The sequence below is a fragment of the Homo sapiens genome, chromosome 5 (assembly GCF_000001405.40).
Source record: "Homo sapiens chromosome 5, GRCh38.p14 Primary Assembly".
NCBI classification, from domain to species: Eukaryota; Metazoa; Chordata; class Mammalia; order Primates; family Hominidae; genus Homo; species Homo sapiens.
Window position 1 is genome coordinate 31,051,319 of NC_000005.10, and position 17,516 is coordinate 31,068,834.

General features: G+C 38.1%; 1 pseudogene, besides 1 other annotated feature; it reads left to right on the forward strand.

Annotated features, from left to right (window-relative positions):
- Positions 1,683 to 2,882: an enhancer, noted in NCBI's record as "CDK7 strongly-dependent group 2 enhancer chr5:31053108-31054307 (GRCh37/hg19 assembly coordinates)". NCBI's record gives its function as "activates an origin of replication core promoter dependent on BRD2, BRD4, P300/CBP, MED14 and CDK7 cofactors, with strong dependence on CDK7, by STARR-seq in HCT116 cells {active_cell/tissue: HCT116}" and the evidence as "EXISTENCE:reporter gene assay evidence [ECO:0000049][PMID:35650434]".
- RPL19P11 (ribosomal protein L19 pseudogene 11) lies at positions 2,205 to 2,917 on the forward strand (annotated as a pseudogene).

A 17,516-nucleotide genomic window follows, 5' to 3' on the forward strand; every position in this document is an offset into this window, starting at 1 on the left:
TTTCATCTTTCTCCGTTCCCTGTGGCACTTAAGTGCACAAGAAATATTCTTTGAAGTCAATGAGCACCGTCTACTGGATTTGGAGGACATGATGTTGGGAACAATTTAAACGGAGTTTCATTTTCTAAAGTACAGATGAATGTCTTAAGAATTAACAGTGTAGAACACGATAGGTAAAAATGAACAATGTGATAAAAACAAACTTGAACATGCTGCTCAATGGCCTTGGATTTCTAGTAATTATGCTCTTTCTCTGAATCTCCTTAGGGCTCAGGCATAATTAAAATAGCAATTACTGACAACAGCAAGATTTTCTATCATAGATATATGAAATAACTAGCAGCAACATAAATGAGGATGAATGTAAAGATTATATTTAAAAGTTTCACATCATACTTCATAGAATGATAGCTTTTTTAAAAAAGTATATCTCTGGGTATATAATTTGCAAGTGCATAAACACAGAACTTCCAATTTAAGAATGCCCCCAGGTAATGAGAATGAGTGCTGCTGTCATATGACATTGGCAAGCCTCTGAAATAGTGTAGCACTGGATTTCTTAACTTTATCTTGCCAGGGTTCAGTGATAAGAATGGAGGGAAATCCATACCGGGCCACTCTTACAACACAGCCCCCAGGGCACCATGCTCAACCCCTGGCACAGGGTGACATGTCTGATGTTGCTCTGCCAAATTCTCCCCCACCTCACACTTTTTCTCCTTCCGAAGAGTAGAGTTATGAATGTCTAAGATCAAAGTCACCATCATCGCCTGCTTCTAATCAAGAAATTTCATTGTTTTCTGGAACACAGATAGATCCCAGTTCTCCCTCCAAAGGGACACATTTTCTAATCAGCTTGTCACTATTGAAAGCACCAGCATCCTTTACTCCACACATCTTTCCAGCTGAGTTGTATGCACAGGTCGATACCATTTCATGGATAGCATGAGACCAAGCCCATTTATGGATTTACAATAAACATTAAAGAATATTACCATGGCTACATACATGGGGAGAAAGTACAGACACTAAATCTCCAGCCGATTGCCATTTCCTTTTATAACAACTTGGTGGTCGTGCAAATTAGTATAACTCTTGAATGCCTTTAAAGGAGCAGATATGAGTTTAGTGGGAGTTGTGGCTCATTGACTTTAGCGGGAGAATATGACTCAAATCCTCTGAGTTTTATAAGGTAATGAGTTAGTTTAGGTTAAAGCAAACCTTGGAACATAATTTGATTGGTTTTTCCTCTATCAGTGATGGATGATGCTTGATAATCACTTTCTGCCTATTATATCAATAAATCAACTGCAATTCAATTTTAATCTGTAAATAAAGTTAAATCAGGGCTATGAGCAAATTACACGCCTGCATTAGCTACTTAGAAGTGTCATTACTGTCTGTGGTTATTGAGCCGAATGTAGATATTTGAGCTTTTAAATTCTAGTTTTAAAGAAGCTGAGATAAATTTCTTGAATGTTCTTACAAGAAACACCATACACTCTGAGAAATTTGTACCTGCCTGAAATTGCAAACATAAATTATACGATATCAGAACAAATAAGGATTTCTAGCTTCAAGCACCAAGTGATATTATCTTCGGATTGTCAGTAGGCATGCAGGGAACACAATATAGAATGAAGTTAAATGCTCCTCATGGAGAAGAAAAATGGGACAATAATCCCATCTCGGCTTAAGAAATTAAAGCTAGGAAAAATACCCAGTGTGTCAACCTGCCATGTTGTACTGTGCTCACAGCTGGACTCCATCATATGGGCAGTCTTACGGCACCTAGCACATTATGAGTGCTCAGTAAATATCACAGAATGATATTAACCAGTGCAAGGCACCACAGGCTCTAAATCTCTAACATAATGGGACATGTCTATATGAATGTGAAGCACAGCAGGCTGGATGAAAGCAAATGTCAGCCCAGGAGATAGAAAGGAGACTGGCCAAGCCTCTGTGAGAATGGTGAGAGATAGAACCACCCAGAAACAATAGTGACCACTGCACTTAGTTCTGTTTGTGTGGACAGATCAATTCCTCAGCCTTTTGTGACTGAAATCAACTAAGAAAACCAGAGTGTAATTTTATGCCAGTCATGTTTGACTCACTGCACCTTTGTGACAAGGTACTGAGAGGTAAACATTCCAGAATGATAACTATTTTCCAGTTAATGGGGGCTACAGAAAGTCATGCATGCGGAGCCCTTTCCTCATTCCTTTCACTGCTGCGGCCACAGCCATGAGTATGCTTCGGCTTCAGAAGAGGCTCGCCTCTAGTGTCCTCCACTGGGGCAAGAAGAAGGTCTGGTTGGACCCCGATGAGATCAATGAAATCGCCAATGCCAACTCTCGTCAGTAGATCCGGAAGCTGATCAAAGATGGGCTGATCATCTGGAAGCCTGTGACTGTCCATTCCCAGGCTCAATTCTGGAAAAACACCTTGGCCCACCAGAAGGGCAAGCACATGTGCATAGGTAAGAAAAAGCATACAGCCAAATGCCCAAATGCCAGGGCAGGTCACTTGGATAAGGAGAACGAGGATTCTGTGTCGGCTGCTCAGAAGATACCATGAATCTAAGAAAATTGATTGCCACATGTATCACAGCCTGTACCTGCAGATGAAGGGGAATGTGTTCAAAAACAAGCAGATTCTCATGGAATACATCCGCAAGCTGAAGGCAGGCAAGGCCTGCAAGAAGCTCCTGGCTGACCAGGCTGAGGCCCGCAGGTCCAAGACCAAGGACGCACGCAAGCACAGTGAAGAGCGCCTCCAGGCCAAGAAGTGGGAGATGATGAAGACTTTGTCCAAGGAGGAAGACACCAAGAAATAAAAGCTCCCCATTTGTCTGTAATGCTGGCCTCCATGATTACATAGATCAGCCATTAAAATAAAACAAGCCTTTATCTGCAAAAAAAAAAAAAGTCATGCATGCATATTCTGAAAAGGAATATGTATGTAATTTTATCACATGAATAAAAGTTAAATCACCCATAATGCCTGTTAAAAACCTGAACTTAGCACAATTCTGCTCCAAATTAAACTTGAACAAGACTTCCTACAGATTTTAGGATATTAATCAGAACTTAAAAGATCTGGACAGGTATTGAACTTTGAAGATAAATGTGATTTTCTTATATCTTGTTTAACTTTTGTGTTGTCAAAACCGCTTCCCTCTTTGAATTAATTGTTTAAGTTATCAGGCCTTAGACAGGTTTTGTTTGTTTCCTTGGTTATATTATAGGGAAGAGTTGAGGAAAATAGAGCTCACCAGGATACTGGGCACCGACGTAAACACACTGAAAGTCTAATTCCACTAGTAAAGCAGCCAAGAAAACAAACACTGATTCATGTGCAGAGTTCACAACACAGGATAAGGGGAGCTTAAGCAAAGCAAGGAGTGGACTTAAAGGGGATTCACATTGTCTGCATCTGCTTTTCTGACTTACGTGTTAATATAAGTTCAGTGGGTAAATCCTGAATGTATTTGTTGGAGATGTGTTTTTTATCTCAGAGTATGGGAAAAAATCGTGGAAAGAAAAGAAATAATTATATATATGTACACACACATATATGCATATATTATGTATATATTCATATTATGCAGAGAGAGAACATAAACATCTCAGATTTAGTGATTAAATAAATTGGAAGGTTCAAGTGGCTCACTCTACAACATACAGGACAGTGTATCTAAAATAGCTCTAGGTCAGGCATGGTGGCTCACAACTGTAATCCCAGCACTTTGGGAGGTTGAGGCAGGCAGATCACTTGAGCCAGGAGTTCAAGACTAGCCTGGGCAACATGGCTAAATGCTGTCTCTACAAAAAATTCGCCAGACATGGTGGCACACACCTGTCAGCTACTTGGGAGGGTGAGGTGCGAAGATCACCTGAGCCTGAGAGGTCAAGGCTACAGTGGGCCATGATCATGCCATTGCACTCCAGCCTGGGTGACAGAGTGAGAACCTATTTTAAAAAAAAAAAGATAGTTCCATCCATCTTACTTCACAGAAAGTCCTGGAGTTGCAGCCACTAAGTTCATATTCAGACTCCATTATAAGTATAGCCTTCTTTCCGAATCTAATCAAAATAGCCAAAGCACCAAAACAGAATTTTCAGGATAAAATTTGAAATAGTCTCATAAGAAGGACCCTAGAGCCATGCCTCCTGAATTGTCACATTCACTTAAGATTTGGTACTGTTTTAGTATCAAGTATATTCTGTTTTGCAGACTGGGATACTGTTGTATTAGTCTGTTCTCACAGTGCTATAAAGAAATAGCTGAGACTGGGTAATTTATTAAAAAAAAGAGGTGTATTGGCTTGCAGTTCTGCAGGCTGTACAGGAAGCATGATGCTGGCATCTGCTCAACTTCTGAGGAGGCCTCAGAAAACTTACAATAATGGCAAAAGGTGAAGGCGGAGCAGGAACATCTTACATGGCCAGAATAGGAGGAAGAAAGAGAGGGAGAAGGCACTACACACTCTAAAACAACCAGATCACACCAGAACTCACTGTTGCAACAATAGCACTAAGAGGGATGGTATTGAACCATGAGAAACTGCCCCATGATCAAACCACCTCCCACCAGACCCCACCTCCTGCAGTAATCCTGAGGATTACATTTCAACATGAGATTTGGGTGAGGACACAGATCCAAATCATATCACTGCTAGAAACCAAAGCTTTACTAAACCAATAGCAGGGCCTATCAAACTCTTTTACTTTTTCATTATTCAGTGGGAAAAAGGTGAAACCCACAGACAGTAGAATAACTCCACCATTCGCACTCGTTTCCCCAAACCATTCAGCAAATATATGATCCATGCATCAGAATCAGTCCCCAGCTCTGTTAGTGCCTCTCCCTCCACTCCCTGCAAATCTTAGCCACCAAACCCATCCCTCACAGTCCTACCTCTCCACAATGATTCCAAGTGTTGGGTAAATGTACCATTCTTCAAAATAAAATGGGCCTTCCTCTTACTTATGGTAATTTTCAGTTAACGATCATGTTGATTTTGCCATAAAATTGCATAGTTTTAACTAATTTCCATAGTTTTAACTTTTAACATAATTTTGGAAAACTGATATTTAACAAATTCATTCCTATTTTGCTTATCTGGCATTCCTTACCCTGATGAGCAACTACAATTTATATTCAAAATCTCATATTCTCTTCCCTGAGAAAATTGCCATATAAAAATAATCAATATACAGTCTGCTTTCAGAGAAAAGAATATGATAATGCCCTCTGTTTCAGAACACAAGCCACCAATCTTTGTCAAGCATGGAACATTAACAAAAGTAGAAATGTGGAATATTGGCTAGCACAACCTGAGAAAGACTCCTAATTTCTCTTTACCATTAGAGAAGTAGACTCTAACCTTATCCCCTGCAAATGATAATGAGTAGGGGATATTGAAATCTTGGACACCTGTTGGCCAGATGTTTCACCACCACTAGAAATAATGATTTCTTGCTAAAAGCCAAGCTGATAGATAGATATGTACTTCCATTGTTTATCGTAAGGAAAAATAAATAAGAGTAATAAATAAGAGTAATTCTTACAATAAAAAATGGAAGTAAATTATATACTCAGTAAAGGCACAACATGTTATTTCCAGAGTTATGGAATTTAAATGGAAGAGCATTTGTCTAAAGAGCATCTTGTCTACTATAATATGCCTGAGGAGTAGTGGTTCATCCTGTCTATGGTAGGAAAATACTTCCCAGAAGTCAATGATACCACGGTACAGCCTTAATCACTAGAAGTACTTTTCTCTTACCAAAATGTTAATGGTAGTTACCCCCATGGAAGTGGGATGAGGTAAGGGAAGTAGGGCTTTCACTTTTACATTAATTGGATTTTCCATAATGTATTAGTCTGTTTTCACACTGCTATAAAGAATTGCCTGGGACTGGGTAATTTATACACAAAAGAGGTTTAATTGACTCATAGTTCCACATGGCTGGGCAGGCCTCTGGAAACTTGCAATCATGGTGGAATGCAAAGGGGATGCAGGCACCTTCTTTACAAGATGGCAGAAGAGAGAGCCAGGGAGGAACTGCCAAATACTTTTAAACCACCAGATCTTGTGAGAACTCACTCACTATCACAAAAAAAGCATGGTAGAAACTGCCCCCATGATCCATCACCTCCCACCATGTCCCTCCCTCAACACGTGGAGATTACTATTGGAGATGACATTTGGATGGGGACACAGAGCCAAACCATATCACTTAATAACAGTATTTTAGTTTATAACTCAAATAAGTACATAACAAGTGATTTGAAATCTGATTTCATTTACTTTCCTTGTTTTACCTAATAAGGGGCCCAAGGGGCACAGACGAAACTCTTTCCACTTCATTGCTTGAAGACAGAGATCAGGATACCCTCCGTCTTTGTTTCTTTATAACAAACAGTCTCAGTTCCTCCACAAGACATTTTGCTGGGTACTGTTGGGAGAAAATTCTTGATGGATCTCCCACATTTGTGCACACCTTGCAAGCAGAGACACCAACTGCCTTTCTTCCTGACAAATTTTTTCAACAATGTTTGTGTAATGAAGAGTCTTAGAAGACAGAAATAATGTCTCCCTCTAGAACAAAAGAGGCAGACATCCTTATTACCCGTTATAATAGATTTGGTTTTCCTAAGCTTAGGGTTCCCCTCCAGCAAAGCAACCTACTGTATGTGCAGATGTCATCTGGCCCTCTTTGTATTGCCCTATAGGTATTGAGGCTTGGGGGACAGATGCCAGAAGGTCTGTAATTCTGGGCACTACTATTACTATGAATAATAAGGTCTTTTGCCTCTGACCCAAGAGTTTCCTGCATTCTTCCAACATCTATGAAACTGCATCAGTCTAACTAATTAAAACCGCAAGACCTTTCACAGGTTTTTACACATACTTTAGAGAGTTGAGTTGAAAATATGTTCTTGTTCTTGAGGAGATTATAATCTAAAAATGTCAAACTTGTAAATTTTTGAAATACATATAATTGGATAAGCTTAAAAGTGTATTTGAATACTTTCAAAAATAAAATATAAAGAAGAAGCAGAGTTATAATGGTCATAAAGTCTACTCAACAAAGAGTAAAACAAAGTCATCAGATACACTAAGGATAAGGGAACGTCCTATGATCATGAAAGGTGTTTTTCTTTCAGTTGTATAAACAAACTTGAAGGGTTTTAGGGATGGCAGTGACATTTTACCCCCATAACCTGTAACTCAAAAGTTCCCGATATAGTTTGGATATTTGTCCCTACCCAAATCTCATGTTGAATTATAATCCCCAATTCTAGAGGTGGGGCCTGGTCAGAGGTGTTTGGATCATGGGGGTGGATCCCTCATGGCTTAGTACTGTCTCCATGATAGTGAGTTCTCATGAGATCTGGTGATTTAAATGCATGTGGCACCTCCTTCCCCACTTTCTCCTACTCCTGCCATGTGAGACACCTGCTCCCTTTCATCTTCCACCATGATTGTAAACTTCCTGAGCCCCACCCCCCACAGGAAGCCAAGCAAATGCCATCACCATGCTTCGTATAAAGCCTGCAGAACCACGAGCCAAATAAATCTCCTTTCGTTTTAAATTACCCAGTTTCAGGCATTTCTTAGTAGCCATGCAAGAATGGCCTAATACAGCTCCTAAACAGTTTGCCTTTTATGTTCATCTATGGGGTATTGATGAGTCCTATCATAAAAAGGTTTTCCTCACCTGCTGAATCCCCTGGGTCTACCAGCGTCTATTTTTATCGCTCCCTCCTGAAGCCATGCCCTGGGCTCAATATGTTGAGGTGCTGATATGGCAACAGCTGATTTCAAAGACTTGCAAAACTTCAATTCAATCAGCTTTACCACTGCTGAGACATTTGCCTTCTTCAGCCAGCACTTGTGGAACTCAGATTTCTTAAACTAATTGAGCACTTAATATACAGCTATAAATTAATCACATTGAAATGGTGCTAATTATTTCATTAGCTCCCAACCAATCCAATCTAAATAATCACTTATTAGGACTCAACTGCTAAATTTCTTTAAATATTGATTAAAATGTGCTATAAATTACATATGCAGATAACATTTCTGTGTAATTTTCTGGAAATCCATGTATATAACGAAGGAGTGTGTATGTTTCCGATCAGTTTTCTTTTCTTTTTTTCTTTTTTTTTTTTCCTGCAGCATATACAGCAGTAACTGCAATCCATAGCCACATGAATAAAGCAAGGTCAGAACAAATTTTCATCCCACCAGTCCCAAGGCAGACTGATGAGCAGAAAAGCTCTTTGCTCTCCCTTTTCCCCCTCCCCGCCACCCCGAACATCTTGACTGGCAGGCTGGTAGATAATCCTGTTCAGAGCTAATGTGTAGTAACAGGATTGAGGGAAACTGACTTAAGAGGCTTGCATCTGGGCCAGGACACATCGTATCGATGCCATATTTAAAGATGTTCCCTCTGTTCACCTCTGTGAAGATAAATGTCTGAACATTGAGCTTAAAAGCAAAAAGGGAGAGAGACACTCAGAGATGGGTGATGAATTGTCAAACTGTGGAAAAGAGCTTTCACCAAAGAAGCATGTTTGCTTTGTACAGGGCGGGGAGTAAAGAAGAAATGGAGAAAATAATTAAAATGCTCTTCCTTCTCTAAGCTCTGTTAGCTGGAAACCAAATTCTTAATGGGTATAGAGGAAGCTCAGCTATTTTAACTCATGAAGAGGAGCCCTCTTGAGCAACAAGAATAATAGAATTCAGCCTCCTGTGCCCAATAAAATAGGCCAAAGGCCTGGTTGTGCAATTCATTTGGCAATTCATCAGCACTATCCCATGTAAAAGCATCTATAATCATAAAATGCTATTGCAATCTTTTATCAGCATTTAACCTGATAGTCACTCTTTTCTCAAGCTGGAGTATAAGAATCTTATGAGTACGGAACTGTCTAATGCATCTTTGTTTTCTTTCTCTGCAAGGCTTAGCTCCGTCTTTTCATTAGGACAATTTCAACTAGTAAATGTTCATGTGATTTGCTAATGACGTTTGAGAGTTTAGATAGTAGCCTAATGGTGGAATTCAAGCTTTTAAGCATGGGAATTTAAAGGTGAAGATATGCCTTTCTCTTAAAAGCCTAAAAGCCATCACTTATCCATTTAGTTTGCCCAAGCACAATTTTGGAGCCTAAAGAGACAGACAACAACAGGTGACCTCTGGAAGTGAACGTGAAGGGACACCAACATCAATACCCCATAGTTTCCAAGAGGTCTGGATTCTGACAATATACCGTTCCACTCTACTGAGTTGCAATGAAATGTGTGTGTGTGTATGTGTGTGTTATCAGAAAATCAGTGTAACACTAATCTTAAGGTATGACTCTGCAATAAGCTGAACTACCATATTGTCAGAGTACCTATGAACTTCTTGTATTGTCTCAGGATAAAGCTACGTGACTTGTTTTGCAGTTCTCTCAGTATCTGTATTTGCTCTCCACTTTGGTGACTTTTTTTCAAAGATCTACCACTCTGCACTTTATTTTAGGCACTGCATTTAAAAGTATGTATCAAAGGGCAACATGCCAATGCTGCCAATGACATCAAACAACTTACAGCATAATTATATTTTTCCACAGGTGAAAAGTTGATCATACTGTAAGCTTCATGAAAGCAGGCACTATATGTTTTCTTCCTTCTTGAGAAGGAAGCACCTAGAATTGTATCTGACATACAAAAGACTCTATAAATATATACATAAATGAATGAAAGAGTAATACCAATTCTATTGTATTTGTTATTTTAAAAGCCTTCTATTAGTCTATTTTGCCAGATAGATTTTGCTATACCTAAATTGTCTTGAGAGTGTCTCTATGTAAGGAGTTTCTTTTCTGGAATTCCTCCAAAACATGAACCCTCTGATTCTGACAACTTCAAATATCTTTAATGATTTCTTTAAAGAGCAATAAAACGACCAGCTACTAAAAAGGAGATAACTGTACCAACTCTTTTTGTGAATAGACTTAGCAAGCATTTAAGGGGCCTTAACGTCAATCTTCCACAGCTAGATTTATAACACATTCATTCTATGAATCCCTTTGACTTCGATCCTAAAGCCCCTAGGCACAATTTTGCAGGGAATTCCTATGACACGCATACATTAAACTGAGAAGCAGGAGATACAATTCTCCTAGAGGCTGGTATTCACCTACTTTGATTATTCTGCACAGTAAGACAGGTTAGGTTTGTCAGGTCATTATCTGATGGATATTGCCAACGATAGGAAAAAAAAACAGGGCAAGGGGGCCTTAACATTAAATAAACTGAAACACATCCAAGCCATGGAAATATTTTATTAAACTAACAGTAAAAACTAGAGTTAGTGTCTTCAGCATTCATTCCAGCCTAACCACTGAATATTCATTTGTGCCTTTTTTGGGACATTTAATGAATCTATGCTTTATGAAGAAAATAACATGGTAAATGAGCTACTAGACTTTTCATTTTGCCTTTGAGATTGGCAGAGTTATTTTTTAAGGTCCTCAGATCTCCCCGAATAGGTAACAATTTTTAAAAGACTTGAGTGCATGAGCCAAATGTGACCTTGAATAAGCTCCTGTCACAGTTCATCTCTTAATAATACACAAATCAAATATCTTTACACCTGTACAATTTTTTAAACATTGTTTTGATATATATCCCTTGACATGCATATTTGCAAGCCCTTCAGCACTCCCTCCAAAAACGCTTTACAATTAAATGTAATTGTAAATGAAATCAAAGGGTCATAGAAGTCTATGGTTGGTAGATACCATGTAATCATCTTGCTAATCGTCCCTTCCACTGGATGTGTCATTATATAGTAACCCTGACAAATTCTGCTTTAGTTTCTCCACATATGGGGAACTCAGTAGCTAGCAAGATACACTTCATTACATAAGCAGCAGTAGATATGAAACGATTATTTCCCATTAAAATAACTTCCACTTCTGCATCACTCCATGCAGTTTGCACTGCATTTTCACAAACATCATCCCATTCTAGCCCCATGACACTATGGTCAAGTAGGAATCATTAATTCTAATTTCCAGGTAAGAAAATTGAAGCTCAAAAATATATAAATACAAAATTCTAATAAAATGGTCTTTTCACATTTCAACCTATGTAAGAAAACCAAGTATAGATCTGATAAATATATGCCCTTGGGATCTGTCTTCATTTGCTCCAAAATGCATCCCTGGCTTGAGGCAAATAGTGCTTATTTAGATCTTGATAAGGCTATAGAAGTAGCACCTTCTTCTGCTTAGAGAGATCGGGGGTATAATTGTTACCACTGGAATAAGCTGGTGCTAGAACAGCTGTTCCCACAGAAACCAAGATGGTTTGACATATTAAAGATCCATAAAGAACATATTAATGACATATCATGTCTTCACAACTAAAGATACTACATGTAAAACAGTAAGCCAAGTAATGGAAAATGCCCTTTTGAGAGGATTTTTTTCAATAATTTATAAAGCAACAGGCAATAAATGGTAACTCAAGTGCAAACATCATCTTAAAGTAAACTTGAAAGAGTAGATTCTATATTTTATAGTATTTTCCATCATCATAGGCATTCTTGAATGTGTAAGTACTGTTCTACCATTCAGCCAGGAGCTACATGTAAGGAGTCCAGTCACAAGCTAACTGATTTTCCATCTTAGGATACAAAAGAAGTCACTTCTTCAATTAGAGTACAATGACACTAATGAATGCACTCTGGTTGTTCCCTTTCTTACAAGACTTTCTTATCTGGCAGCTCCAGTGATGTGATGAGAAGGCGATTTGCAAGTCTGATTTGGAAGTTTTTTTGATCACAAGAGACTAGGGAGTATAAAGTCTCTGCTTACAGTCTTAGGGACATTACAGAAAATTAGCTCTGGTAATGTATTGAAATTATTCAAATAGAAATAGACTCTTAACTTTGTGATCCTTCCTTCTTAACTTGCACAAGGACTGTGATGTAAATGAGAACTCTTATGGTTATTCTTTAGAGACTTCTGTTTAGTAACTGAATCTCTTTGAATTTTGCATTATACAGCTCTCTCTGGTCAGTGGGCGGGAATAGAAATAGAGATATTTTCAGGGCTTCAAATATTCTATTCATTTCCTTGATGAATTTGAATCAACAGTTCTAAACAAGTTTTAATAATCAATTGGCAAGATTTGTATGCAGAAAAGCTAACTGCTTTACTTTATCGTTTTGTACATATACATGACACCATCCATCATATTGCTCTCCCATGTTATCTGAACATCTTGAAAGTAAAATAAATACTCATATTATTACAAGAAGTGTTATTTCTGGTCTACATATACTAGAAGATAGAAAATCCTAGATAAATGCTGTATTAAGCAAACTACAGCACTAAAGTATTATTCATGGAACTAAGCATAATGATAAAAGCAATCTACTGATAATATCATGGGTAAGTAAATGTGGAAACAGTCAGAAAAATATTTCTTTGCTTTATGGTGCAAAAAAACAATATATTCAGCCTATTGGTCCCTGAAAGACAGATGCATATAATGTAGCCCGTTCCACTATAGAGCACATTCTATTAGACCAGTGGTAAGGCTGAACTTCATCAGTTTTTGGAGGGGCCACCTCAACTCCCCTTCCATCTGGGTGATTGAGAGCACTGCCAGATGGAGATTGGCCAGGTGCACTGAAGGAGAATAAGATGTCAGAAAGGCAAAAGATAATTTGTTTTCTCCTCTGGGGTAACCTAGATATGTTCTTTTTCTCCAAACTGTTAAGTTTCAAGAAAATATGCCTACGCCAAGTTTTGAATTATTAGCAAGCTTAACATCCATGTGCCACCTAATGCAGATGCATTTGGAGGTAGGCGAAGATCAATTTTCTGTTCCTAATTTTTAATTGAGTCTAATGACCAGCAATGACCTAGAAGGCCTTCAGCCTTGGGAGAAAAAGCATTAAGCAGATCTGGGGAATGACATACTTCTCCTTGCATGAAGATTTTTTATTTCAGATTCTGTCCCTGAATCTGCCAACATGACAATGCTCTTCAATAATAAAAAGACGTGTTCTGAGCTTTTGCAAAGATGACATCTGCTTGAGTGACAGCCTATTCCCGCACGCTGGTTCCTCAGCTCTAGTTACACAGCAATCTGTCAGCCACTTAGATGACATGCATTCTTTAAACCATTAAAGAGTTAACATACATTACTTTTTTTAATCTGGTAAAATAAATGTCTGGCCATAATTCTTGGGGTGGCAAAATTGCTCTCCAAAATAAATAACACTATTGAAAGGTTAATTACTTGATTAATGTGTATTTTCCTGCAACACTTGCTCTTCATTTAGACAGGCTGAAGAATCTCCCTCTATATCTTATTTTAAATATCTTCCTTTACTTTACTTTCTCTGTTTGTCCAAAGAGATAATTTCTGATGGGTCTTCAACACATAAATCAAAACATTATTCTACTTTTTTGTTGTTACTGTTGTTGTTTAAAAGATCTGCTTTCATTATTGACATGCAGGTAACTTGATTGAAAGTGGATGAGCCATTTTTCACTCCCCTCCACGTGGGTAGAGCTGGGAATTATTTCTCATCATTAAGTAAAAAACATTTTACTTTTGGTTGGCATGAAAATGACATAAGTGCTCTCCTTCACTTTCTGAGGCATCTGGAAAGTGAAAACCTTTCAGCACAAGACACAAAGTCAATCTTTTACACTCCCATTAATGTTAAAGGTGACCATGTGGGCAAATTCATATACATACAAATATGGTTTATTCAGAATCCAATTAGCAATCAGCATTGTGTTGCTTTTCCAGAGCAACTATAAAAACATAAAATAATGTCAGAAACTCAGCTTATATGTTTGGAAAGAACTGTGGCATTAAGGACAAGAATATTGTCTATTTACTCCATCTGAAGACCTTCCACAAGATCAGTGGTAACCCTACAGACAGACTCAAGAGTGACTGTACTGTGGTCAACAGAACTTTTAGGTAAAATTGGTCTTTTTCCCTCCTCTGCCTCTGAAATTTCCAAAACTTCCTGAGGAGGTAGAAAACACATATGCAGGTATGAACAATCAAAGAAAACTTGCACTTTGTGGATTGTATTTCCATAAGAAAATACACTCTATGTCACTATGCACAGGATGGATCTGCCAACTAACTCTGGCAGACGGAATGAACTATGGTGGACTGGGGAGAGGGAAAAAAGTGGAAGGAGAAAAAGATAAGCGGGAGAAAGTAAAATCAGCAGGTGTGTACTGGATATATTTCCAAAGGAATCAACAGAATGTGATCACTCATGATTCTGTTTTTCTAAAACATGTACAAAGCTTCTTCTCTTGATCTAATAAACCCAGTGAGAACACATATTTTTATTTTCCTACAAATTTGATTTCCTTTATTCTTCAAAAATAAATAAAATATGTATGTCTAAATCAATTGTAGTAAATTAGGGAGGAAGACCTACCAGAAACAGAAGACACTCAGAAGCATCTTTCATAGATAAACATAGAGAAAATGGGGACAATATATTAACAGGTATTTTAGAAATACCTATTGGAAGAAACTTTTACATTCAACGCATTCACAAAATTTGCAGTTATGCTTCCTACATTTTGGGGAATAAAGTGTAAGATTCCATAGGCAAATAAAAAGTATCACTCTGGTTTCGTATGGGGTGGTGTGTTGAGGGGACTTGCTGGGGTATAGTTATCTGGATCTCCCAACAGGTCCGGTGAAAACAGAATTAATGTAAGTGCTAGTAGGAAAAGTAGGATTAGGAAAGAGGAAGACAGAAATAAAACCAAAAGAAAAAGCCCACTGATCCTGCTGTATTTGTTTTCTACTGTTGTGTAACAAAGTACTATAAACTCTGCAATTTAAAACAACACAGATTTATCATCTCATAGTCTCTGTGGTTCAGAAATCTGGGCACAACTCACTAGTTCCTCTGCTCAAGGCTGCAATCAAGGTGTCAGCCACCCGCATTCTCATCTTGAACTCAGGTTCCTCTTCTAACTGCCTATGATTGTTGGCAGAATTCAGAATTCAGCTCCTTGCAGCTATAGGACTGAGGTCCTCAGCTTTTAGAGACCACCCATGTTTTCCTGCTATGTGATGCTCTGCATGGGCAATTTATATCATAGCAGCTTGTTTCTTTGAGGTTATCGGAAGAGTCTCTCTAGTGCATGCTAACAAGACAGAGCCGTATATGCATGTGGGTAGGTAGACAGACAGACAAACTGACCTAATTATGGGAGTAACATCCCATCATCTTTGCCATATTCTATTGGTTAAAACCAAGTCATAGGTCCCACCCACATTCAAGAGGAGGGAATAATACAGGCTATGTCCATGGAGTTATCCTAAAAGCTATCTGACACAGCTATGAAAAGAATTCCCCGCAGCTCATAATACAGAGAGCATTCCTTACATATCCAAGAAGCCTTTTCTTGGCATGCAACCTCCTATTTAAATGCCAAATCAGTCCTGCAAAAATATTTATTTCTGGTTCTGATCATTGCTCAAAAACAAAATGAGAAATATCCTAGTGTTCAATGGAATGTAGTTGTTCATCAGTGTGTAACATTATGAAACAATGGTGTGAACCTAGTTGATGACTATGTTTCAAATTATGGCTTGGTTGATATTCTAAATGTCTTCAAAATGCCTCCCTAATGTTTTATTTCTCTGATAGGAATGGCTTATCATGTGAAGACAACTGTAAACACGCAATGAAATGGCCTTATGAGAAAGTTAATGTCTCTATCCAGCACCAGGATGGTAAAGGCTAGAACCCAATGGTGTGTTTGAACAGGTCGTTAAGGAGACAGGAATGTCCACGCCTGTTTAAATGCTGACACAGACTCCTCTAATATATGCTGCTTTCAAGAAAAAAAGTGTTGACATCTTATCCAACTCACTGAAACTATTATGCAAAAATGAAATTGGTTAACGCAGGGAATTTTTAGATGCATATTTTCCATAAGCATTTATTTAACTTAAAAGCAAATAAAGGTATATTTTTGCTATTATTTTGACGTCAGCCCAAAAAAATACTGAATGTATTTATTACTACTGATGGGATTTCCCTGTTGTCTTTCATAACATACCATCTATGACGTCTGGTTTTGTTTTCTTTAAAGTGGAGAAAGAACACACTAACAAAGTACAGGTTTTTAAAGTAAACTTTCCAGATTTAAATATTTATACATCTATTTGAACAGCAATTGTTAGCAACTCATATCTACCGAATCTTTCAAACGCATTTTTCAAAGTGATCAACTCCCTTCCATTCTATACTTATATTTTATGAGTAAAATGCAATTGACTTGCAAAACCACCATAACCAGTTCAAATAACATTAACAGGTTTAGCACCAATCCCAGCCAACTTTTGGTAATGGTCTTACCCTTAAACAGAGCAGTCTACTAGGCATAGCGCTCGAGTGCTTTGGGCAATAGCATGCTCCAAGAAGGAATGAAGAGTGTCATTTAATCCAGTAGATCGGTCAAGGGAAAGTCATTTAAAAGAGCTTCTGCTCTTCAAAGATGCAATCAACATGCACACATTAAATATTTGTTGAACTTCTACTATGTGCTAAATCATGGGAATAAGTGTCTGCTATTCCTCAGAGGAAAAAAAATGATTGTTGCCCTTGAAGATTCCAATACAATTACTTTGAAAGATACCATTGCATTTATGTGTTTATAGCATACAAGGGGTTGCTATCTGTTTTAACACTAAAAAGCTTTTGATGTTAGCCTGGATTCTGGCAGGTGCTGAAGAATGGTGAGAAATTCACTGAGGTCCTAAGGTTATTGCTTGATGATTTATGACTCATCAGTCCTTAGTTGAAAGTGCCCTGTCAAATTCATTTTTTAACACCAACAAATATGAGGTTGAATTGTAAAATAGGTTCCATTTAATCCAATTTATTTTATGTGGCTGTGCTCAAGGATGCATGGAGGGGCCTCTGCTACATAAGAAATTCTTTCAAAGAGTATGAGAGATGAAAATTTACCCAAGAAAAACCACAGGGGTATATTCCACTCTCCTCTCCTGCACCCTGTATTTAATCAGTCACCAAATCACGCCACTCAAAACTGTCCATCCTCCCCACTAATTTATGTCCCTGCCTCCTCCCACCACAATTTTCCATGTCACTGCTTTAGTACAATCCTAATCTCCCCAAAAATTCCCTATCCTCTTCCTGACCCCAATCTTCTACCTCCAGCCCACACCCATAGAGCTTCCAAAGTTCACAAATCTGTTATGACTCTCATTTTTAGAGCCTACTATGGCTTTCCACATTCAGAGAATAGTGGATAAGCTTCTCCGAATGGGATATGGATTTACCATATTTTACCAGCAACATTTATGATTGTTTCCACCCATGTGGTCTAATTGCAGCTTCATAAATCCATCCCCATTTTTCTGCAAGAATAAAAACTTTTTAAAATCATTTTGTATCATTGCAATTCTG